General features: G+C 41.7%; 1 protein-coding gene across 10 annotated transcripts in view; it reads left to right on the top strand.

Moving 5' to 3' along the window:
• ZNF566 (zinc finger protein 566) overlaps nucleotides 1–26,699 on the top strand; it is a 44,443-nt gene that overhangs the window by 2,119 nt on the left and 15,625 nt on the right. For 3 of the 10 annotated variants that reach the window (NM_001145344.1, NM_001145345.1, NM_032838.4), the window contains exons 2-4: nucleotides 10,827–10,894; nucleotides 13,985–14,111; nucleotides 14,437–14,532. In NM_001145344.1, coding sequence (NP_001138816.1) covers nucleotides 10,886–10,894; nucleotides 13,985–14,111; nucleotides 14,437–14,532 — 232 coding nt within the window. In that variant the 5' untranslated portion in view covers nucleotides 10,827–10,885. Of the gene's footprint in view, nucleotides 1–10,826; nucleotides 10,895–13,984; nucleotides 14,112–14,433; nucleotides 14,533–26,699 lie in introns of all 10 variants that reach the window. The other 7 variants (NM_001145343.1, NM_001437584.1, NM_001437587.1 and 4 more) reach the window with 4 other exon arrangements.

Raw genomic sequence — 26,699 nt, 5'->3', positions numbered from 1 at the left:
ATATTTGGGTAGCTTCCAATTTGGGGCTGTTACAAATGATGCTGCAGCTGTGAACACTCTGCTGTGTTTTTGGTGAACACATGAAGGCTTTTCTCCCGGGTTAATACTTAGGAGTGGCATTGCTAGATCATAGGGTAGGCTAATGTTTAATAGATACTACGAAGCTCTCATGTGGTTGTTCCAGTTTACACTCCATCCAGCAATGTATGAGAGTTCCAGTTGCTTCATATCCTCTCCGTAATTTGGTATGGTTAGTCTTTTAACTATTTTATTGGTTGTGTGGTGCAGTTTCATCATAGGTTTTTGTTTTGGTTTGTTTTGTCTTGTTTTGGTTTGTTTTTTTTTTTTTTTTTGAGACGGAGTCTCGCTCTGTGGCCCAGGCGGGAGTGCAGTGGCGCAATCTCGGCTCACTGCAAGCTCCGCCTCCCGGGTTCACGCCATTCTCCTGCCTCAGCCTCCCGAGTAGCTGGGATTACAGGTGCGTGCCACCACACCCAGCTAATTTTTGTATTTTTAGTGGAGACAGAGTTTCACCATGTGAAACTCCCGCCCGCCTCAGCCTCCCAAAATCCTGGGATTATAAGTGTGAGCCACTGCACCCAGCCTCATCATAGTTTTAATTTGTATTTCCTTGATGTGAAATGATGTTCAGCACCTTTTTGTATGTTTACTGGCCATTTGTATATCTTCTTTTTTGTGTCCATTTTCCCCTTCGTAAATTTTTTAAAAATGTTCTTTTCTTTCTTTCTTTCATTTTTTTTTTTTTTTTTTGAGACAGAGTTTCGCTCTTGCTGCCCAGGCTGGAGTGCAATGGCATGATCTCAGCTCACTGCAACCTCCACCTCCCAGGTTCAAGCAATCCTCCTGCCTCAGCCTCCCATGTAGCCAGGATTACAGGCTTGCGCCACCACGGCCAGCTAATTTTGTATTTTTAGTAGACACAGGGTTTCACAATATTGGTCAGGCTGGTCTCAAACTCCTGATCTCAGGTGATCCAACTGCCTTGTCCTCCCAAAGTGCTGGGATTACAGGTGTGAGCCACTATGCCTGGCCTAAAATTTTATTTTCATGTTGTGAACATAGTATAAGGAATTTGCAGATACTCTGCAGGTGCCCACAGTGCAATGATGAAAACCAGGAAATTTATGCTGATAGAAGACTTTTAATTAAGTTAGAGCCCTTTTTCAAATTTTGCTAAATTTTCTTACTGTTTCAGGATCCAATCCAAGGTCCTGCATTGAATTGTATTGTTTCATTAGTCTCCTTCCATCTTTGAGTGTTCTTTAATCCTTTTTATCTTTTAGGACTTTGACACTTTTGAAGAGTACTGGCCAGTTATTTTGTAAAATATCTTTTTCTTTTCTTTTCTCTTTCTCTCTCTGTCTTATTCTTTGAGACGGAGTCTCTGTCACCCAGGCTGGAGTGTAATGGCACAATCTTGGCTCACCACAACCTCCACCTCCTGGGTTCCAGCGATATTCTTGCCTCAGCCTCCCGAGCAGCTGGGACTATAGGAGCGCACCACCACGCCCAGCTAATTTTTGTATTTTTAGCAGAGACAGGGTTTCACCATATTGGCCAGGCTGGTCTCGAAATCCTGACCTCGTGATCTACCTGCCTCAGCCTCCCAAAGTGCTGGGATTACAGGCGTGAGCCACCGCGCCTGACCGCTTTTTTTTTGAGACGAAGTCTTGCTCTTGTCCCCCAGGCTGGAGTGCAATGGTGCGATCTCAGCTTACTGCAGCCTCTGCCTCCTGGGTTCAAGCGATTCTCCTGCCTCAGCCTCCCGAGTAGCTGGGATTACACGCACCTGCCACCACCCCCGGCTGATTTTTGTATTTTTAGTAGAGATGGGGTTTCACCATGTTGGCCAGGCTGGTCTCGAACTCCTGACCTCAGGTGATCTGGCCGACTTGACCTCCCAAAGTAGTGGGATTACAGGCATGAGCTACCGCGCCCAGCACCGGCCACTTTTTTTTTTTTTTTTTTTTTTTAATAGACAAGGTCTTGCTCCGTCATCCAGGCTGGAGTGCAAATGCAGTGGCATGACCATGGCTCATTGCAGCCTCAACCTCCAGGGCTCAAGCAATTCTTCCACCTCAGCCCCTGAGTAGCTGGGACTACAGGTGCACACCACCACTCCTGGCTATTTTCTTTTTTTTTTTTTTTTTGTAGAGATAGCATCTTGCTATATTGCCCAGGCTGGTCTTGAACTCCTGCTTTCAAGCCATCCTCCTGTTTTGGCCTCCCAAAATGCTGGGATTGCCACACCCAGCCTGCAGAATATCTTTCAATTTGCGTTTGCCTGATGTTTCCTTATGGTTAGATTTAGACTGGGCAGTTTTGGCAAGAAGATCACAGAAATGATGTTGAACTCTTCTCAATGTGTCATATCAGGAGATATATATATTAGTATATCTCATTATTAGCAATGTTAACTTTGAGAACTTGGTAACAGTGTTGTTTGCCAGATTTCTCCTCTGTAAAATCACTGTTTTTCCCATTTTATTGAATAAGTATCTTGTGGGGAAATAATTTGAAACTATGTAAAAATGGCTGGGCGCGGTGGCTCATGCCTGTAATCCCAACACTTTGGGAGGCCGAGGTGGGCGGATCACAAGGTCAGGAGATCAAGACCATCCTGGCTAACACGGTGAAACCCCATCTCTACTAAAAATACAAAAAATTAGCTGGGCATGGTGGTGGGCACCTGTAGTCCCAGCTATTCGGGAGGCTCTGGCAGGAGAATGGCGTTAACCCGGGAGGTGGAGTTTGCAGTGAGCTGAGATCGCGCCACTGCACCCCAGCCTGGGTGACAGAGCGAGACTCCATCTCAAAAAAAAAAAAAAAAAAAAGAAACTATGCCAAAATCCTATTTCTCATCATGTTTTCTCACGCATTAGTTTTAACATTCATTGATAATTTTTACCTGTAACAATTATTACTGTGATGTTTGCCTAGCGGTGATTTTCTCCTTCTATCATTTCTTACACTTTGATAATTTAAATTCTACTATAAGGAAGAGCTGTCTCTTCTTGCTCCTGTTAAAAGTGAACTAAATGTGGCCTGAGAAGGACTTTGTACTTCTATATTTGAGTCCTTATGGACGAACTGTAACCTAACAGGTAGACAGAATTGGAAACCTAACTTGTGTGCCTGTAACAGTGTATGTGCCTGTAACAAGCTGAGTCTTGGCTAATCCCAGCAGCAATACTTCAACCACTCATACACTGCTGAGTGTTCAAACTGTGTTAAGTAAGGCAAACACTGTCTGGGCACAGAGGCTGGCGCCTGTAATCTCAGCACATTGGGAAGCCGAGGCAGGCGGATCACCTGAGGTCAGGAGTTGGAGACCAGCCTGACCAACATGGTGAAACCCCATTTCTACTAAAAATACAAAAAATTAGCCAGGTGTGGTGGAGTGCACCTGTAATCCCAGCTACTCAGGAGGCTGACACAGGAGAATTGCAGTGAGCTGAGATCGTGCCATTGCACTCTAGCTTAGGCAACAAGAGCAAAACTCCGTCTCAAAAAAAAAAGGCAAACAAGAACTTGTAACCAGTTGAGCTGTTTCTCCACCTCACTTCTGATTTTTGTATGTCACTTCCCTTTTTTTTGTCTATAAATTTGTTCTGACCACGAGGCATCCCTGGAGTGTCTCTGAATCTGCCGTGATTCTGGGGGCTGCCTGATTTGCGAATCGTTCATTGTTCAATGAAACTCCTTTACATTTAATTCAGCTGAAGTTTTTCTTTTGTCCCCATTTGTTTATTCAATTATTTACCTATGGACTCATGGATATTTATTTTATTCTATTCTCTATTATTATTATTTATTTATTTTGCTGTTCAAATTTTCCCATATTTGGCCATCAGAAGCTCCTTAAGTTGGCTCTTGTGTCTTTTCAACGTGTGATCATTTTTTAAAGCTTCCCCCCAACCCCGCTTTCTGGGACATAAGATGTTCCAGGTTCATCTTGTATTTTCCCTCTTCCATCTCTGGGCTCAGCAATTTCTCCAAGCAGCATTAATTTCTTTTATTGGAGAATGAATTTATAAACCAAGATCTGGGCACTTGGTGTGCTTATTGCTACTGGTGTGTCTTTGCTCTGGTTCTGGTCAGTGGAGAGAGTGAGAAAATACACAAATGTCTACATGCACATTTATGTCTATTTATTTGTTTATATGTTAAAAACACACCAGTTTACACTCATATGTTTAATTCTATTCCAGTACCACAGGGTATTTTCTTTTCCCAAGAACTATGAACTATCTGAGATTTTACCCTAGTTGTAAGCTAGTAAGTTGGCTTGTCAGTTTCACAGATACGTTCAGAAAACATGAGACTTCTGAGTCTGAGACAAAGGATGCTTTGTTGCTCATGGCAATCTTCAGAATATCTACATTCTCATGGTACTGATTCAGTCATACACCCAGGATTATGCAAAATACACAGGTATCTGTGTGTTCCCTTGACCTTAGGAAACCTGAATTTTTTATAATGGATAGTTAGAATGCCTACCCTTTGCTGTAGAAGGAGACCGACTCTGTCTTCCAAGGCTGTTCACTGTATAAACAACTTGGTAAAATAGTGCAGAACAAAAACACTTAGTACCTCTTCTTGCAAGATACGCAGAAACATGCAAGACCCATGGAGAATTGTCTCCCATCAAATTTGGCCATTTCCTTGTTACTTCATTTTCCAACAGAGAGAAACCTGCTTCTCAGAATCAATAATTAGCTCTATCCTAGAATACATGCAAATTAGTTCAGAGTTGCCAACCTGGACCTGTGTAAAAAGTATTTAGTAACTACAGTAGAGAATCTCTGTGTAGCTCTTTTTCTTTAAGCTTATAGTATATAGTAAACAAACATCTTCCAAAGTTACTCAATTTAGTTCTTTTCTTTGCCACTCTTTTCAGTATGTTTTTTTTTTTTCTTACATTTTTCTTACATTTAAGGATCATTTGTTGCATTTTGGGTTCCCCCACATCCTGGTTGATTGTAGCAGGCTACACTATTTTGAATGTGAAAACATTCGCAGGGGACAGTGGCTCACTCCTGTAATCCCAACACTTTGGGAGGCCGAGGCCGGCGAATCACGAGGTCAGGAGATCAAGACCATCCTGGCTAACACGGTGAAACCCCGTCTCTACTAAAAATACAAAAAATTAGCCGGGCGTGGTGGCGGGCGCCTGTAGTCCCAGCTACTGGAGAGGCTGAGGCAGGAGAATGGCGTGAACCTGGGAGGCGGAGCTTGCAGTGAGCCGAGATCGCGCCACTGCACTCCAGCCTGGGCGACAGAGCGAGACTCCGTCTCAAAATAAATAAATAAATAAATAAAAATTAACTTAGTTCCCACAGACTCCTTGTATATATTCAACTTCATTCGTTTCTGCTTTATCCTTGCTGTGTTTCTTTTGCACAAATGAAGAGTTACCTATATTCTTTTTACATTAAAGATAGCATTCTCTAGGCACTCTTTTGTACATTGTTTCTTTCTCTTAATGATACATTCTGGATAACACTCAGGCAGTTAAAGAGATATTCATAATTCTTTTCTAATTGTTACATAATACTGCAGCCTGTGGATTTATCATAGTTTATTGAACCGCTTTCCTACGTATGGATATTTAGGTCATTTACAATATTTTGTTACTAGAAACAGTGCTGCAATAACCTTGTATATATGTATTTTTCTATTGCTGGAGGAGTATCTTTAGGGTAGATTCCTAGAAGCGGTATTGCTGGGTCAAAAGGTAAGTGCTTTGTAGTTTTGTTAAGTATTGCAAAATTCCTCTCTAGAACTGTTGTACCAGTTTTTATTCCTACTTGCTGTGTATGAGCATGTCTGTTTCCCTTCACAGCCCACCTAACAGAATATGTTGTCATGTTTTTTAGTTTTCACCAGTCTAATAGATGAGAAATAGTACCTCAGTGTTCTTTTCTTTTTTTTTTTTTTTTTTTTTTCCCGAGACAGTGTCTTGCTCTGTTGCCGGGGCTGGAGTGCAGTGGCGCGATCTCGGCTCACTGCAACCTCCGCCTCCTGGGTTCAAGTGATTCTCCTGCCTCAGCCTCCTGAGTAGCTGGGACTACAGGCGCGTGCCGCCACGCCCAGCTAATTTTTGTATTTTTGGTAGAGATGGGGTTCCACCATGTTGGCCAGGCTGGTCCCAAATTCCTGACCTCAGGTGATCCACCAGACTCGGCCTCCCAAAGTGCTGAGATTACAGGTATGAGCCCCTGTGCCCAGCCCTCATTGTTGTTTTCTTATTTCTCTCATTATGAGTGTGTTTGAACATTTCAGAGTCTTTTAAAAGATTGCCTGTTTATGTCTTTCCCCATTTTTGTAGCAGATATTTATTTAGTACTTTGTCTTTTATGACTAGTGCTTTTTTTTGAAACGAAGTCTCACTCTTGTTGCCCAGGCCGGAGTTCAGTGGTGTGATCTCAGCTTACTGCAACCTCTGTCTCCTGGGTTCAAGCGATTTTCCTGCCTCAGCCTCCTGAGTAGCTGGGATTACAGGCGTCTGCCACCATGCCCGGCTAATTTTTTTTGTATTTTTAGTAGAGACAGCATTTCAACATGTTGGCCAGGCTGGTCTCGAACTCCTGACCTCAGGTGTTCCGCCTGCCTTGGTGGGCCTTGGCCTCCCAAAGTGCTGGGATTACAGGCATAAGCCACCACGCCTGGCCCCGAAGCTTTTAAACATTCACATTCACACTTAAGTCTGTGATCCCTCTTAAATTAATTCTTATGTATGGGGTAAAGGTTAATTTTTTTTTTTCCAGTTGGGTGCCTAGTTGTTTCAGCACTGTTTATTGAAAAGATTGTCCTTGCCCATCTAAACTGCATGGAGGCTGGGCAAGGTGGCTCACGCCTGTAATCCCAGCACTTTGGGAGGCCGAGGCAGGCAGATCACCTGAGGTCAGGAATTTGAGACCAGCCTGGCCAACATGGTGAAACCCTGTCTCCACTAAAAATACAAAAATTAGCCGGGTGTGGTGGCAGCCACCTGTAATCCCAGCTACTCCAGAGGCTGAGGCAGGAGAATTGCTTGAACCTGGGAGGCAGAGGTTACAGTAAACCAAGATCTTGCCACTGCACTCCAGCCTGCGTGACAGAGTGAGACTCTGTCTCAAAAAAAAAAAAAAGAAAAAAAAATTGCATGGAGTCTTTGTCATAAATCAGGTGACAGTATATACATGTGGTTATGTGGCTCTCTTTCTGGACTCTATATTCTATTTGGTTTTATTGTTTTGTCTGTACTGCTGTCTTGAAATCTGTAGTTTTAGTCCTCCTACTTTTTTTCTTTTCCAAGCTATCTCGGCTATTATAAGCTCTTCTAATTTCCAAATAAATGTTAGAATCAACTTGCTAATTTTTACCTTATTCCCCCCAAAGCCTTGCTGGGGTTTTCTTTACAAATATATGTGTTCATTTTGGGGCCTGATGCAGTGGCTCACACCTGTAATCCCAGCACTTTGGGAGTCCAAGGCTGGAGGATTGCTTGAGCCCAAGAGTTTAAGACAAGCCTGGGCAACACAGTGAGACCCTGTCTCTACCAAAACAAAAACAAAAACAAAAAAACAACTAAAACCAAGCAAACACGCAAACAAACAAAGAAACAAAACCCCAAACATTTAGCTGGACTTGATGGCGTGCTTCTACTCCTCGCTTCTCAGGAGGCTGGGGTGGGAGAATCCCTTGAGCCCCACAGGTTGAGGCTACAGCGAGCTTTGATCGTGCCACGGCACTCCGACCTGGGTAACAAAGCAAGACCCTGATTCAAAAACAAAAACAAAAACTGTGTTCATTTTGGGAGAATTGACATCAATATTCAATCTATAGTACATATGGTATATGTCGACATTTGTTAAGATCCTTAATTTCTCTTACCAATTTGTCATTTTTAGTAACATTTTTGATAGCTTTATACCTGAGTATTTGATGTTTATTATGGAAACTGTGAATAGTATTTACATTTTAAACAATTTTCCAATTACTTGTTACTAGAAATGCAATTGATTTTTATATATTGTCTCTATATGAGACCATGTTGTTTAATTCACTTGCTAATTTTAAGAATTTATTATTTAGGATTTTCTATGTCTGCAACTTATCATCTGTGAATAATGATAGTTTTCTTTCTTTCCTACCAATCTTTATACCTTTTATTTCTTCATCGTGCCCTATTATACTGGCCAAGCCCTTTATTACATTGTTAAAAAGAAATGATGATAATGCACATTATTCTTTTTTTCCTGGATTCAGGGGGACATTTTTCAGTGTTTCAACATTAGTTATAACATTAGCTCTAGGATTTGATATTTTCCTACATACAAGCTCATACATTAGCCTGTTAGTTTCATGAATGCTGGCAGAAAACATGAGACCCCTGGATCAGAGACAAAGACTTTATTACTCATGGCACAGCAAGCAGCGTAGGCATCAGTGTTCATCAGTTCCTATTTCTCTCAGCTCCCATGGGGACAGCATGTGGGTCTACATGGATGCTATTCATGCAGTGCATGGGCATAGCCACTGAGGAACACTGAGCCTGGATAATCCATTGCTTTTATAGTCAGCAGTAAGCAACCCTACTGTTCGTGCTCTTATCTCAACTCTCAAGGTTATCAGCTGCATAAATAACCCTGGGAAATGAGTAGTTAGAATCTTGCATTCTAGGCATACCCAGCAAGACGCCTAAGAATGTGGAGACCCATGGTAACTGTCTCTCCCAACAGTAGGTATTTCTTAGATGCTACTCATCAAGTTGAGAAAGTTTTCTTTCTTATTTCGTGAGACTTTTTTTTTTTTTTTTTTACATTAATGAGGGCTGAATTTAAAAGAGAGGAGCAGATCCCCTGATGTAAGAATTCAGCATGGGAGGCTGCCCTCTGGGGCAAAGATGAGGAGTGTTGAGAATGCAACAAGCATGGTATGGAGCTGTTGAAGTGGGAATGTTTCATGCCATCCTGCTTGGAAGGTACAGCATTTGAAGACATCCCTTTAACCAGAGGAAGGCCAGGAGGAGAGACCAGAAAGGAGGGCTTAAAATGAGGAATATAGAAGAAGGAACTCTGTTTCCAGATCTTTCTGGATTATTTTTGACTCTTTAGTATCTAGCACAATGCCTGGCTATTATATATCATAGGCTATTTGGTTGATAAAAGAATACTAAGAGCTTAATATGTAGTAGTAATAATAATAATATCAGCGTGCATTTAGGTTTTAAAGAAGAGACACTTGTATTCCTTTGGTATTCATCTGGGGAAATGCAGTGAGTGAGTGCCTATGGGTAGAGGAAGCCATTAGATAATTGATAACATGGTGCTACTTTCTGGGTGGTCAGTTTTATATGAAATAATTGATGAATTGTTTAATGATCAAGAAGCTTGGTGCATAGAGAATAATAGTGCTCTTTATAGTTTGTATAATTTTAAGTTTATTAAGTTCTTGTAGCTAATAAGCAAAACACCAAAATTTTCTTAAACATTTAAACATTGATCACTAATTCAGTTCTTCCCCTTAAACAATGTAGTCTTCCTTTAGTATTTTAGTATAACTTATTCTTTTGGGCACTTTAAACATCTTAAAGTGAAGATGTTTATAAAGAATACACACAAGGCTGGGTGTGGTGTCTCACGCTTATAATCCCAGCACTTTGGAAGGTCAGGATTTTGAGACCAGCCTGGCCAACATGGTGAAACCCGTCTCTACTAAAAATACAAAAATTAGGCGGGCGTGGTGGCGGGAGCCTGTAGTCCCAGCTACTTAGGAGGCTGAGGCAGGAGAATGGCGTGAACCTGGGAGGCGGAGCTTGCAGTGAGCCAAGATCGCGCCATTGCACTCCAGCCTGGGCGACAGAGCAAGACTCCGTCTCAAAAAAACAAACAAACAAACAAAAAAAAAACAGAAACAGAAAACTGGTTTGACCCAGGTATATCCAAACTTAAAATGTGTATAATCTCTGAGCAATTATACTTTTAGGAATTAATTGTGAAGAACTCATATACAGGTAAAATGACATATGCACAAGGATATTTATTACAGCATTGTTTGTTACAGTGAAAAACTAGAAAAAGCCTAAATGATGATTGGCCACAGATTGGTTAAATAAATAAAGTTATGGCCAGGCGCGGTGGCTCATACCTGTAATCTTAGCACATTGGGAGGTGGAGTCGGGCGGATCATGAGGTCAGGAGATCGAGACCATCCTGGCTAACAGAGTGAAACCCCATCACTACTAAAAATACAAAAAATTAGCCGGGCGTGGTGGCACATGCCTGTAGTCCCAGCTACTTGGGAGGCTGAGGCAGAAGAATCGCTTGAACCCAGGACGCGGAGGTTGCAGTGAGCCAAGATTGCACCACTGCACTCCAGCCTGGGGGACAGAGTGAGACTCTGTCTCAAAAAGAAAAGAAAAAAAAAATTAAGTTATATCCATTTAATGGACTGCAATGTAGCTATTAAACCAGTTATGTAACACAATATGTGCTAATTGGGACTTCATTCCAAGATATGTAAAGTAAAAATAGCAACGTGTATAAGTAGTGTGTATAATATGAGTTAAAAAAATCTATATGTATGTATGTGTGTGTATATAAACATATATTCTCCAAGCCATATTGAGTTGCCCTAATCCATCCTGCTCCAGTTACAGCCTGGTATCTTTGAAGCTAGGGATGATAGAGACATTTGCCCATTCTCCTCACTGATACCCCACAAGCATTTCTGAAGCATGAACAGAAGGAAAATGATCATTCTGGGCCAGGAGCTGTGAGGAAAGTGGGGTCTTATCTATCTTCTTTTGCCTCTCCCAGCTCTACCCTTCTCCAAAAGAAGAGCCAAGAGAAGGTCCTTTTCTACAAATATCAGAGCCATGGCTCAGGTGAGATACTGTTTCCTTTTGCTCAGATAGAGTGATTTTTACTTCTAGTAACTGTAAACATTTGCTTTCCTCATGATGATGCTTTTTGATGTTAGAAAAACAACACCTTTCAAAAAGTTTGGTTATGAGCAATGTCAGAATTTTGCTGTAAAGGAAAGGATCTCTAACAGGCCAATTCATAGAAAAAAAAAGAATTGATTACATAATCATTGTTAGAAAATTTACCCTTTTTTTTTTTTTTTCGAGATGGAGTCTCGCTCTGTCTTCTAGGCTGGAGTACAGTGGCACAATCTTGGCTTACTGCAACCTCTGCCTCCAGGGTTCAAGTGATTCTCCTACTTCAGCCTCCTGAGTAGCTGGGATTACAGGCGCCCACAACCACACCCAGCTAATTTTTGTATTTTTAGTAGAGATGAGTTTTTGCCATGTTGTCCAGGCTGGCCTCGAATTCCTGACCTCAAGTTATCCACCCGCCTCAGCCTCCCAAAGAGCTGGGATTATAAGCATGAGCCACTGTGCCCAGAAAAAAATTTATATTAATTCACTGTTAACTGTTAGTCAGCCAAGTGGTTGAATAACAAATTTCTCTGAAGAAGTTTTAATTTAGATTAATGTCCATCAGAAAATCCCCTATCAGTTTCATCAAGAATACTTATTTCTTTCTTTCCATAAAGAGATTTAAGAATTATGTAATGTAAAAATTATGTAATGTAAAAACCTGACCCAGATCAGGTTTGGAATAATTTTTTTTACACTGGTTTCCAGGGTCCCCTGTCAGGAAAAGGACATGCATTTCCTCCTAAACAACCCCAGTCTCCTCTTCAGTTCCCCGCCGCCCCCCGCTTTTAAACAATGTTTACATGCTGGTTTACAAGTCCTTCAGCATCTCCTATCTCAGATTTCTACCAAAAATCCTGATAGGGCAGAAATGTGTTCCCCACATTGAATTAATATGAATTTAATTTGCTTGGACAGTGATTTGATGGGATGAAAATAAGTAATTAGGGGCACCTTATAGGGAAAAGCCCTCATTAGCTCTGTAGACCTGGGTTTTCCAATAAGAAAATACATGCTGTGGTTTTGTTTGATTTCAGTCCTAGTACATGGCAAGGTCTCCTGGTTAACGAGCCTTTTATGTTTGAGAGTGTGACTAGTGGTTGTTACAAAGCTCTCACACCTCACTAAGCATCCATGAAAAATTGATGTCAGTGGCCAAACGTGGTGACTCACACCTGTAATTCCAGCATTTTGGGAGGTTGAGGCTGGTGGTTTGCTTGAACCCAGGTGACTAGCCTGGGCAACATGGCAAACCCCATCTCTACAAAAAATACAAAAATTAGCCAGGCATGTTGGTGCACGCCTGTAGTCCCAGCTACTCGGGAGGCTGAGGTGGGAGGATCACTTGAGCCCAGGAAGTCATGGCTGCAGTGAGATGTGATCATGCCACTGCACTTTGGCCTGGGTGATAGAGGAAGATCCTGTTTAAAAAACAAAAGCAATGATGTCAGTAATACCAACGGTGAAACTGGATCATCCTTCACCAGTTTTCTGTAGCTTAGTTATAAGGGGAATTTACAGCTGGGCAGTAGGTGGTTATAAATAAGATTGGGCCAATGTTGGCGAGGTCTTTAGAGATCACCTCTAGCCTGAATTTCTAAAGGCAAAAGGATAGATGTCATTTATAGCCTTATAATAGAATAGTATTCAGTGAGAAACATATGAATAGCATTTGTTGTAACAAGGAATATTTCTTATTATATAATAGTCTGGCATAGGAATGGATCAGAGTCTTAAATTATATGCAAATTTAATTTTCTAAGATACAAAGTTTTTAAAAGTAATTTTACACATGTCTACAAGGGAAATAGTTCAATTCTGGTTTTGTCCCGTTACCAGACCCACTCCAAGAGGCCACTGCCCTCAACTCTTGAAAATTGGTTTACTACCATTTTTCGATAAACCCACTTTAGTCATTATCTCTTGACTGATTGCAAAGTTAAAGGGAACATTGTATTCCCATACTGCACTTTCGTTTTTCCTGACTGTTACCATATCACCATTTTTGGTTAAATCAATAGTATACACCTTATTACGGCTGCAAATATTATTCTCTGCCAAGCGAGCTCATGGCTTTGTTCTATACAACCCTTCATTTTCCTGGGGTTAATTGCTTCCCCCCTCATTTGCCTAGTCATTTGTGTGTTTATATCCAGAATCTCCAGCATCATTGCCACAGGCCAATCAATACGTTTTCCCTCTGGTCAGACACATCAGTTCCTTTTGATATAGAGACTTGATTCCCCATTTCCTGTTTCCTTGTTCCCATCTGGTCTGGTTTACTCTCTCAGTCACAGCTTTCCTGAAACTTTACCTACTTCCTGAATCCTATGTTGTCTTCTTTTTTTGTTTACTCCCTCGTTTTTGTGGACCACATCCTCTAGAAGTTTCTGAAGAAACTCTTCTTGAGTCCTTGGATGTCTACAAATGTCTTTTCTCAACACTCAAAACAGAATGATAGTTTGTTTATGAAAGTCTAGGTCAGAGTTTATTTTCTCCATCAGAATATTGAAGAATCGTTCTTATTGTTTCTTGCTTTTAGAGGTGTTCTTGAGAATTCCATTGCCCCTCTAATTTTTGATGCCTTTTATATGACCTGCTCTTCTCTCTGGTGGCTTTTAATGTCTTTATCCCTTATTCTGAAATTTGACTCTCAGCTATTTGGGAAAAGAGAGGGAGAAAGATCACATGTATCGTTGATTTATTATATGACAGGTATAGTGTGAGGCATTGCATATACAATTTCATTTAATTGGAAAAGCCCTCTTAGCTGAATTTTTGTACCTTCCCAACCTTGTTTGGATAATGGAGGTATCCTAGCATACTCAGGCAGTTTCATTTGGAGGAAACAGAATGACCTGGAAACCCAGTGATTCAGTTGTGCTTATTTGTTTACAGTCCTCCACTGCTTCCCAGACATTCATATGCTCACTATATTTTACTTCCTCTACCTTAATCTTTTTCTTCTCTCTTTCCTTCACAAAAGTACTTTTTAAAAAATTAATGAAGTCATATACGTGGTTATTGTTCCAGGAGTCAGTGATGTTCAGTGATGTGTCCGTAGACTTCTCTCAGGAGGAGTGGGAATGCCTGAATGATGATCAGAGAGATTTATACAGAGATGTGATGTTGGAGAATTACAGCAACCTGGTTTCAATGGGTAAGGACATCTGTCCATAGTAATTTAGATTCTGCCCTTGGAAGGCCTACTTCCTCCAATGTGAAATGCTCACCTGGCTTTCAAAAACCAGTCGAATTTTGATATCCTGTTCCACAGGAATGTTCTGAATATGGTAGAGTTAGAAAAAGGAAGCTGCATTGAGTTTTTGGGGATGTTTTACATCTTCCGTTATGTTTCATAAGTCCGTTGTACCTCTCTTTGACTCTTCTCATAATGCCATGTCTTTCTTTATAATGAAGGGACTGGATTTGAATTCTAGGATATGCTCATGATAAATTTGTTTTGTTACTTCTTTTGTAAGCAGGGCATTCTATTTCTAAACCAAATGTGATCTCCTACTTGGAGCAAGGGAAGGAGCCCTGGTTGGCTGACAGAGAGCTAACAAGAGGCCAGTGGCCAGGTAAGTGAGGCACAGCAGGTAATGCGTGATTTGGCTGGTAGAGAGACTGCATCTTTTAGATGCTATCTGGGAAACTCTCCTCACAGGCTTTTGGCCTGTTGTGCAAATGTAAGACCTTTTCTACATGAGCTTTCAAATGATCCTACCTTTCCCCTTTACCTAACACACTTTGCCTGCTTTTCTCCTCTTATCCTTCTCTCTCAGTTCTAACCAGCTGGTGCCCTCCTCCACCCTTTCTAGTGATATTCTTTTCTATCCATATTTTGGATCCATTTCCTTCCTAGCTTCTCATCCTCCTTTGTATTTAGTCTAATAAAAGCATCACTGTCTCCAGAAATAGATTTTTTCCTACACTGCCAAAGACTTATTTGCTTTTACTAAGTTTTTTGGGATAGGGGTTTATGCCCTCATTGATTCATTCATATTTTTTACCAACATTTACTGATTTTCTAACATGTATAAGGCACTCAGCTAGGTGCTGCAGAGTTTAAAAAAGGAATAAGCAATTTCAGAACTTACTGCCTAGTAGAAGTACTAGAACATGTCTACAAATAACACCACCATAAGCGAAGTTAAAATAGGGAGCTTAGCAGAAAGTGAGGGCTAACGAGGTAGAAGAGGGGTTGATCCACATAGAAGTCATAGGGGGAGATTTTTGGTGTAAGCATCATTGACTTTATATAGAGGGTTGGAAATAAAGGGCCTGTGTCTCCATGGAGAAGGTAAGAGCTGGCAAAGAGAGATTTGGTATGAAGGAGGAGGAACAGAACAGCACATTCATTCATTTAGTTTATGTCTCTGTAGTGACTATGGTATGCCCAGCACTATTCTCAACACTGAGGTTACAGTAATGAATAGAACATGCGTGATTGGGTGCAGTGGCTCACCCCTGTAATCCCAGCACTTTGGGAGGCTGAAGCAGGAGGATTGCCTGAGATCAGGAGTTCAAGACCAGCCTGGCCAACATGATGAAACCCCATCTCTACTAAAAAATACAAAAATCAGCTGGGTGTGGTAGCATGCGCCTGTAATCCCAGCTACTCAGGAGGCTGAGGCAGGAGAATCACTTGTACCCAGGAGGTGGAGGTTGCAGTGAGCCAAGATTACGCCACTGCACTCCAGCCTGAGTGACAGAGAGAGACTCTCTCAAAAAAAGAAAAAAAAGAACATGCATAATCTCTGTTCCCAGAACCTACCCCACAGTGTAGGGAGAGACATGAAAATAGATGAATATATAACATACCAGGTAATAGTAAATACTAAAAGAAATAAGAAGTAGAGGAAGGGGATAAAGGATGATATTTTATGTGAAGGGGCAAGAGAAATTTACCATATCTTACTAAATGATATGGTAACGTTTGGGCAGAGACCTGAAGAAGCACCATAGTAAGTTACTGTACTGGGCGGAGGACCACTCCAGATGGAGGAATGCAGACCTTCAAGGGCCTGAGGCAGCTGTGCGTTGGCTGTGTTTGAGGAGCAGCCCCAGAGGCCAGTGACTGGAGGAGTGAGAGCAGAGGGGTACGTGGGTGGGAGATGAGATCAAAGAGGCAGGAGTGGGAAAGAGTGGGTCAGTTTATGTACTGTCTGCCATACAGGCCATGGGAAATCTTTTCATTCTAAGACAAGAAGTCATCAGAAGGCTGTGCACCTAGAAATGGCTTGATGCAACTCATTATTTTTTTTTTTTTTTTTTTGAGACAGAGTCTCGCTCTGTCGCCCAAGCTGGAGTGCAGTGGCATGATCTCGGCTCACTGCAACCTCCGCTTCCCAGGTTCAAGCGATTCTCCTGCCTCAGCCTCCCGAGTAGTTGGGATTACAGGTGCGTGCCACCATGCCCGGCTAATTTTTTTGTATTTTTTTTTCAGTAGAGACAGGGTTTCACCATGTTAGCCAGGATGATCTCAATCTCCTGACCTTGTGATCCACCTGCCTTGGCCTCCCAAAGTGCTGGGATTACAGGCGTGAGCCACCACACCGGCCATGTTTTTGTTTTTGTTTGAGATGGAGTCTTGCTCTGTCACCCAGGCTGGAGTGCAGTGGCATGATCTTGGCTCACTGCAAGCTCCACCTCCTGGGTTCAAGCGATTCTCGTGCCTCATCCTCCCGAGTAGCTGGGATTACAGGCACCCGCCACCATGCCCAGCTAATTTTTGTATTTTAGTAGAGACAGTGTTTCACCATGTTGGCCAGGCTGGTCTCGAAATCCTGACCTCAGGTGATCCTCCCACCTCGGCCTCCCAACGTGCTGGGATAACAGGTGTGAGCCACTGCGCCTGTCCTTGATGCAACATATATTTTAAAAAGATTTCCCTGGCTGCTTTGTAGGTGGCAAGATTGGAAGCAGAGTGGCTGTTTAGCAGGTTTTTGTAGTAGTCTGGTTGAGATACAGTGATGGCTCAGAGACCATTGAAATGTTATCAGTGGCAGTGGAAGGAAGCGGTGGGTTTGAAATCTTTTCAAGGAAGAGTTAGCAGGATTCAGTCTTGGAGTGTAAGCGGAAAAAAAAGGATTCATGCTTTTTAGGGAGAGCCTGTGGAAGAATGGGCTTTGTAATTACTGAAATGGGGAAAGTAGATTTGGGGCTTGCAAAATCAAGGGTGGGTTTGCTTATGTTAAGCTTCAGGGCTTACTGGACGCAGCATAGATGCCATGCAGGCAGCTCAGTATAGAAGTCTGGAACTGGGAGGTCAGATCAGCATTGGAGGAAAATTTGGAGAGCCTTCAATGTAGAGATATAGAGTCTTGTGACTGGATGAAATCCCCTAGGGAATAAATATAGCAAGGACAGAAACCTGAAGCACCCTGATACCTAGAGGTTTACAGCAGGAGAAGGTATGGCAAGGAAATGTAGGTTGAACAACAGCAGGATAGAAGGTGAACTCAGGAACTCAGGAAGAAAAGTACCAAAAAGATCTGGCCATGAAGATTAGATAGGTATGTAATAGTTTCTACATGCATTTTCTCATATAATTCTGTTTTTTTTTTCTTTTAGTGCAGTTCGAGTACTTATACTTACATAGTTAAGCTGCTTTCTAATCAATGCTTGTTTGTAAAAGTACCATTCTTTATGCATATATGCATTCTTTATGTAAAAGCACACTTTACGCATATAGATTTTTCTGTATTTGCTTAGGATAGATTCTCAGAGACAAGATATTTCTGAAGCTTTCAGACACTCACAGTGTTTGGTAGTATTCATTTCATTGTACTCTTTAAGAATGGTTAATTTTTATTTTAAATAAATGTTTTCGCTCATTTATTTTACAAGTCGTAGAATGTTGCTTTTCATTGTGAAAATTTTCAAAAATACATGCCACTAATCTACCCCTATTGTCGCACAAATATTTTCTTTTTTTTCTTTGTTTTCGAGATGGAGTTTCGCTCTTGTTACCCAGGCTGGAGTGTAAAGGCGTGATCTCGGCTCACTGCAACCTCCACCTCCCGGGTTCAAGCAATTCTCCTGCCTCAGCCTCCCGAGTAGGTGGGATTACAGGCACCCGCCACCATGCCTGGCAAATTTTTTTGTATTTTTCATAGAGATGGGGTTTCACCAGGTTGGCCAGGCTGGTCTCGAACTCCTGACCTCAGGTGATCCACTTGCCTTGGCCTCCCAAATTCTGGGATTGCAGGCGTAAGCCACCGCGTCCCACCACAAATAATTTCAAGTAAATCCAGGACTTCATGTCATTTCACCCTTGCATAATCTCATGTAATTCTAAAAAATACTGATACTTTCTCCCTTATATAACCTTAATGCAAAGTTATATAAATTTTACAGTGATTTCTTTGTATACTGGACTGCTTTATTGTCATTATATTGAATACTTGTAAGAGTGTACATTTTCACCATAGCATGATAATTACCTTGTTCATTTCTATATTTCATACTTTTAATCTATTACTGTGTTGATTTTTTCAGTTTTTATGGACTTTGCAAAATAATAACATTTACCTGTCTATTGGTTCCCAGAGGGTGCTTTTACTTTTTTTTTTGAAACAGGGTCCCACTCTTGCCCAGGCTGGAGGGCAGTGGCACTATCACGGCTCACTGCAGTCTTGACCACTTCCTGGGCTCACGTGATCCCCCCACCTCAGCCTCCTGAGTAGATGGGACTACAGATGCATGCCACCACACCTGGTTAATTTTTTGTATTTTTTGTAGAGACGGGGTTTTGCCACGTTGCCCAGGCTGGTCTGGAACTCCTGGGCTCAAGTGATCCCACCACTCAGGCTCCAGAAGGGCTGAGATTACAGGCATGAGCTACTGCTCCCAAACTAGCTGCCTAATTTTTTAGTTTTTTTGAGACAGAGTCTAGTCCTGTCGCCCAGGCTGGAGTGAAATGGCGTGATCTGGGTTCACTGCAACTTCTGCCTCCAAGATTCAAGTGATTCTCATGCCTTAGCCTCCCGAATTGTGAGAATTACAGGCATGCAGCACCACACCCAGCTAATTTTTGTATTTTTAGTAGAGACAGGGTTTTGCCATGTTGACCAGGCTGATCTCTAACTCCTGGCCTCAAGTGATCCTCCCACCTCAACCTCCCAAAGTGTTGGGATTACAGGAGCAAGCCACTTCACCCAGCCGAGCTACCTAATTTTAACTTTTCTTCAACACTTGTATTTGTTTACAATTTCACCAGCAGTATATGAATGTTCCCATTGTTGCACATGCTTCCTAATGTACGGTATTGTCAAACTTTAATTTTTTTTTTTTTTTTTTTTGAGGCAGAGTTTCACTCTTGTTGCCCAGGCTGGAGTGCAATGACACGATCTCGGCTCACCGCAACCTCTGCCTCCCGGGTTCAAGTGATTCTTCTGCCTCAGCCTCCGAAGTAGCTGGGATTACAGGCATGCGCCACCACGCCCGGCTAATTTTGTATTTTTAGTAGAGATGGGGTTTCTCCCTGTTGGTCAGGCTGCTCTCGAACTCCTGACCTCAGGTGATCGGCCTGCCTCGGCCTCCCAAAGTGCTGGGATTACAGGCGTGAGCCACCATGCCCAGCCCAAACTTTGATTTTTATCAATTAGTGAGTGTATAATAATAATTCAGTGTGGTTTTAATTTGCATTTCCTTCTTTTTTTCTTTTTTTTTTTTTTTTTTTTTTTTTTTTTTTTTTGAGATGGAGTCTCGCTCTGTCACCCAGGCTGGAGTGCAGTGGCATGATCTCAGCTCACTGCAACCTCTGCCTTCCAGGTTCAAGCAATTCTCCCACCTCAGCCTCCCAAGTACCTGGAATTACAAGCACGTGCCACCAAGCCCAGCTAATTTTTATATTTTTTGTAGAGATGGGGTTTCACCATGTTGGCCAGGCTGGTCTTCAACTGCTGACCTCAAATGACCCACCCGCCTCCCAAAGTGCTGGGATTATAGTCTTGAGCCACCGTGCCCGGCCACATTTTTCTTTCCTGATGAGTTTTAGCACACATTTTCAAGTCATTGGTTTTTTGAAATTCTTTTTTTTTTTTTTTTTTTGAGACAGAGCCTCACATTGTTGCCCAGGCTGGAGTGCAGCGGTGCGATCTTCGCTCACTTCAACCTCTGCCTCTCAGGTTCAAGTGGTTCTTCTGCCTCAGCCTCCTGTGTAGCTGGGATTATGGGCACCCACCACTATGCCCATCTAATTTTTTATATTTTTAGTAGAGATGGGGTTTCACTGTGTTAGCCAGGATGGTCTCAAATTCCTGACCTCGTGATCCGCCTGTCTCGGCCTCCCAAAGTGCTGGGATTACAGGCGTGAGCCACCATGCCCAGCTGAAATTCTTTAGTGAATTGCCTGCTCAAATCTTTTGCCTGTTTTTCTGTTGAATTGTCTGTATTTTTCTTTCTTTTTTTTTTTTTTTGACGGAGTCTCGCTCTGTCACCCAGGGTGGAGTGCAGCGGCGCCATCTCGGCTCACTGCAAGCTCCACCTCCCGGGTTCACACCATTCTCCTACCTCAGCCTCCCAAATAGCTGGGACTACAGGCACCTGCCACCTCGCCCGGCTAATTTTTTTGTATTTTTAGTAGAGATGGGGTTTCACCGTGTTAGCCAGGATGGTCTCGATCTCCTGACCTTGTGATCCACCTGCCTCGGCAAAGTGCTGGGATTATAGGCATGAGCCACTGCGCCTGGCCGAATTGTCTGTATTTTTCTTAATGTGTAAGAGTTCTTTATATGTTCTGCTTATGGGACTTTGCATGTTCTACAAACTACAAGTATCTTTTTCTACTCTGAATTGAATTTAGCTCTGTTTACGGTTTTCTTTTCTGTGAGCAGAAGTTCTTAATGATTACTGTAGTCAAATGTATCCATCTTTTCTTTTATGCTTCACACTCGTAGGGACTCAGTTAAGAAATTCTTCCTTAGCCTATATTTGAATCTTACATGAATGGAATCATCACATATGTATAGTCAGCCCTTCGTATTTGTGGATTCTGCATCCACAGACTCAACCAATCATGGATGTAAAATACGTATAGTTGGCCCTCTGTATTAGTAGGTTGAGACTCACAGTTGGTTGAAACCAACTTACTGTGCCATTTTATATAAGGGACTTGAGCATCCGCAGATTGTGTCTGCCATGGTCCTGAAACCAAACCTCAACTGTCCTCACCCCTCCCACCTGGTACAGAGGGACAGCTGTACATTGTTGTCTTTTTTAATATATCTTTGCCTGCCACAAGGCCATGAAGATATTCTTAACTGTTTTCTTTTTGATAGATGATTCTTGTTCCTTTCCATTAGAGAAAAATGTTTTCCTCTAATAGGCTAAATTTTTACTGTGATAAATTCAGATATGGTTACCTTTATTCCCCTTATGCCTTGCTCCTGGTAGTATTTTTCAATCTGAGGACTTACATCTTTTTTTTTTCAGTGATAGGAAATTCTTAGTAGTCATCTCTTCAAATATTGCCTTGTTACCTTTTCCTTTTTTCCTTCTATTAAACTGACATAAAACGTCTGTGTGTTTCTTACTCTTTATCTGTTTTTCCATTTATACTGCCTTTATATATATTTATACTGCCTTTATATATATTTAATATATATATTTCTTTGGCCTTGATTTATATTGATTTGCTAATATATTCTGTAACAATGACCTTTATGCTTTTCAACCTATCCATTAAATTTTTCCCTTAAAATAGTATTTATAAGCTGGGCATGGTGGCTAACACCTGTAATCCCAGCACTTTGGGAGGCCGAGGTGGGTGGATCACGCGGTCAGGAGATCGAGACCATCCTGGCTAACATGATGAAACCCCGTCTCTACTAAAAATACAAAAAAAATTGGCCGGGCATGGTGGCGGGCACCTGTAGTCCCAGGTACTCGGGAGGCTGAGGCAGGAGAATGACATGAACCTGGGAGGCGGAGCTTACAGTGAGTTGAGATCGTGCCACCGCACTCCTGGGCTACAGAGCAAGACTCCGTCTCAAAAAAAAAAGTATTTATAAACATAGTAGAATATATAGAATGTATATATGTAAACATGTAATTATGACAATAATATTTACATCTGCAGACTTAGACATGTGCAAGAGATTTGTTAGGAAATACACTTAGGAATACCATTGCAGGATCTTGGTGTACGTACTTACTCAGCTTTGCAAGGTGATGCCAAACTGTTTTCCAAGTGTTGTATTAGTTTACGTTGGAAGTACTTTTGTTCCACCATCTTTCCTTATGATATTATTTTTTCATCTTTTAATAATCTGATTGGTGAGTATGAACTCTTATTTTATAATTTTAAATTAAATTTCCCTGGTCATTTTTGAAGATGATTACCTTTCCATATGTTTATTGGTCATTAGTGTCTCTTCTGTATAATGTCATTTTGATCCATTTTGTATTAGGCTAATTTGTCTTTTTCCTAAGATTTGTAGGAATTCCTTGTATAAATTCTAGATACTCATTTTTGATCAATCGCATGTTTTATAGATATGTTTTCCAGTTTGTGTCTTTTTTATTCACTTTCGTTATGATATCTTTTGAAGAACAGTAATTCTTTGTGTTAATATTGTCAAATTGTATGTTTAGTGGTTAAATTATATATTGCTTATAAACATTTTTATCTTTTTCCTGTATGCTTTATACTTTTTGGATCTTCAGAAACCCCTTCCTAGCCCAATTTTCTACTTTGATTCCCAAAATTTTTTTTTTAAGACAGAAAAAGTCACCCAGGCTAGAGTGCACTGGAACAATCACGGCTCACTGCAGCTTCTACCTCCTAGGCTCAGGTGATCCTCCCACCTCAGCCTCCCAGGACTGCAGGCGCATGCCATCACTCCCGGCTAACTTTTCATATTTTTTGTAGAGACAGGGTTTTGCCATGTTGCCCATGCTGATCTCGAACTCCCAAGAATTTTTATGTTTCCGCTTTCTTATTAAAGACCTATTAATGCAACTTTAATTGATTTTTATGAATAGTATGAGATGGAGATCAGTTATTTTTCCTATATAGAAAACGAATTGGCTGGGTGTGGTAGCTCATGCCTATAATCCCAGCACTTTGGGAAGTTAAGGCAGGAGGGTTGCTTGAGCCCAGGAATTCAAAACCAGCCTGGGCAACAGAGGGAAACACCGTCTCTTAAAAAAAAAATTATGTTTCCCTCTCAAATGAAAACTCCGTCTATTCTTCATTGATCAACAATGCTCCTCTGTCATATATTCAGATTTCATATATGCATTGGGTCTTTCTTGTTACATTGAGCCTTTTTATCCCTGCCTTAATTACTCTTGTTTATATAACAAGTCTTGATTTCTGATAGGACACATCTCTCCACCTTTTCTTTAGGCATATTTTGGTTATACTTATCTCTTTGATCTTTCATATAGTATTAAAAATTACTTTATGTTTTATTTAAAATGTTGAGTTTTTAATATGTATAATTACATCGAATTTGGCCGGGTGTGGTGGCTCATACCTGTAATCCCAACACTTTGGGAGGCCGAGGTGGGCAGATCACTTGAGGCCAGGAGTTCGAGACCAGCCTGGACAACGTGGTGAAACCCAGGCTCTACTAAAAATACAAAAACTAGCCAGGTGTGATAGCACACAACTGTAATCCCAGCTACTCGGGAGGCTGAGGCACAAGAATTGCTTGAACCCGGGAGGTGGAGGTTGCAGTGAACCGAGATCGTGCCACTGCACTCCAGCCTGGGTGATGGAGTGAGACTCTGTCTCAAAAAAAAAAACCCAAAAAAAGCAAACACAAAAATTAGCCAGGTGTGGTGGCGCACACCTGTTGTCCCAGCTACTTGGGAGTCCGAGGCATGAGCATCACTTGAACCCAGGAGGCAGAGGTTGCAGTGAGCCAAGATGGTACTACTGTACTATAGCCTGGGCAACAGAGCGAGACTCTGCCTCAAAAAAAAAAAAAAAAAAAAAAAGAAATTACATTGAATTTGTAGATCACTTTAGTAGTAACTGATATCTTTATTACGTTAAATCATGTTTGCCATGACCACAGTACTTTTCTCCATTTATTTAGGCCTTCTTGATGGTATTTCAGTGTATTTTTATAAACTTATCTCAAAAAAGGGCTTATAGTTCATTTGATATTTTATTTCTAGGTATTTTCTATATATTTTTGGGGGTCTACAAATGCAGTTGAGTTGTTTATTGCGTAGGATGTAGACAGAGATAATTCCAGCTGGAGTGTAGTGGTGAACCCACAGCTCACTGCAGTCTGGACCTCCTGGGCTCAAGCAATCCTCCTACCTCAGCCCCCGAGTAGCTGAAACCGCAGACATGTGCCACCGTGCCCAGCTAATTTTTAAAATTTTGGTAGAAACCAGGTCTCCCTGTGTTATCTAGGCTGATTTTGAACTCCTGGGCTCAAGCAGTCCTCCCATCTTGGCCTCCCAAAGTGCTGGGATTACTGCGTCTGGCCCAAGATAAGCCTTCCAGTTTTGGCAGAAGGCACAGGAAATGGGATTTTTTTTTTTTTTTTTTTTTTTTTTTTTTTTTTGAGACAGAGTCTCGCTGTGTCACCCAGGCTGGAGTGCAGTGGCACAGTCTCGGCTCACTGCAACCTCCGCCTCCTGGGTTCAAGCGATGCTCCTACCTCAGCCTCTCGAGTAGCTTGGATTACAGGCACCCCCCACCACGCCTGGCTAATTTTTTGTATTTTTAGTAGAGGCGGGGTTTCACCGCGTTAGCCAGGATGGGAGGAAATGGGATTCTTAACACCAAGAGAGATTGGGGCAATCTCTTGCTTGTGTGTATATGCACATACATATGTACATATATACATATATGTATATATACACAAATATATGTCTATATTTTCCCCCCTGTTTTTGCATGTCCCAGCCTCCAGACAATCTCACAGCAGCAGCAGCAATAGTGGAAGCAGTGGGGGCCTGCAGGTATCTAAAACTACAAGGAATAGGAACCTTCTTTTCCTGTTAGAGTTGCCGTGGAGTGAACCCCTATTACTTTTTTTCTCTGTTTCCTCCTGCCATACCCAGGCATAGTTGCAGAAAATACATAGCAGAGGGAGGTAACTAAAGCCCCAGCGTTAGGACTAGAGAACTGAATAGGGGAGCTCCAGGGAACTAGAAAGTATTAAGAAGATCCCAGAAAGGAACAAGTTCAAAAAAGCAACCTATGTTCAAGTTCAAAAAACCCAAAGTTGGCCCCGGCATGGTGGCTCATGTCTGTAATCCCAGCACTTTGGGAGGCCGAGGTGGGTGGATCACCTGAAGTCGGGAGTTCAAGACCAGCCTGACCAACATGGAGAAACCCCATCTCTACTAAAAATACAAAATTAGCCAAGCGTGGTGGTGCATGCCTCTAATCCCAGCTACTCGGGAGGCTGAGGCAGGAGAATTGCTTGAACCCGGGAGGCAGAGGTTGGGGTGAGCCGAGATCATGCCATTGCACTCCAACCTGGGCAACAAGAGTAAACTCCATCTCCAAAAAAAAAAAAAAACCCAAAGTTCAAAAAACTCAGTTTTTATGAACTCTTAGGCTCATTTTTGCCCGAATATATGTGGATCTGTCCCTAAATAACATATCAAAGACTTTAAGAACTAAAGTGTAAGTTCAGATTGGATTGGGTGGTGTACACACAGGACAAATCCAAATAACACTGCAAAGGCCTTGAAAACTGACACTGGAATCACAGTCCACACAAGCCTTGTTGGAACTTGCAGCCTGTACCCAACATGGTCAATACCTGTTAAAACAAAATATGAACCATCTCCATAGGATTTATTTTATTTTTTTATTTTATTTTATTTTATTTTTTCTGAGACAGAGTCTCGCTCTGTCGCCCAGGCTGGAGTGCAGTGGCGTGATCTTGGCTCACTGCAACCTCTGCCTCCTGGGTTCAGGGGATTCTCCTGCCTCAGCCTCCCTGAGTAGCTGGGACTACAGGTGCACGCCACTAAGCCTAACTAATTTTTTTTGTATTTTTAGTAGAGATGAGGTTTTACCGTGTTGGCCAGGTCTCAAACTCTTGACCTCAGGTGATCCACCTGCCTCGGACTCCCAAAGTGCTGGGATCACAGGCGTAAGCCACTGCGTCCAGCCAAGAGTTTTAATTAGATGTATCTTGGTATAATTTCTGAAGTTCAAAGAAACAGAAAACTCCATTGAAGTAACAACCTAGTAACTCAGGGTGTATCCTACACATGTTTGTGTTTGGTGCTGCCCCTACAGTTCTCTAATGTTCTGAATTAGTTACCAGCCTCAAGCTATCAGGGGATTTAATATAGAAATCTGGATTTCTAGTTTTCCTTGGAGAGCTGGAAAGCAGCACTGGACCTTCATTCTCACATGACAGCTGTCTCCTGGATTTAACAAGCACTTAACCCCTTTGAGAAGGGGTACAAGCTCTTTTACTAACCACTGTCCCCACTATTGCCTACTCTCACACAGACTCTGAGGGCACAGCCTGAGCTGCAATGTACATTTGCAGTATTACTTTTCTTAATCTCACCTTCATTACTGAAGGATATTTTTGGTAGATACAAAATTCTGGATTCACAACTCTTTTTTTCAGCACAATAAATTATTGTTCCAATTTTTTTCTGGCCTCCAGAGTTTATGAAGAGCAATCCAGTCATTCAAATCATTGTTCACCCAGAAGTAATATATATTTTTTTACAGTTCTTTCACTATTTATTTTGTCTTTGATTTTCAGCAGTTTGATTATGATGTGTCTGAGTATGGATT

The sequence above is a fragment of the Homo sapiens genome, chromosome 19 (assembly GCF_000001405.40).
Source record: "Homo sapiens chromosome 19, GRCh38.p14 Primary Assembly".
Taxonomy (NCBI): domain Eukaryota; kingdom Metazoa; phylum Chordata; class Mammalia; order Primates; family Hominidae; genus Homo; species Homo sapiens.
Note: the sequence above shows the minus strand (reverse complement) of the source record. Positions and strands in the feature narration are given on the sequence as shown.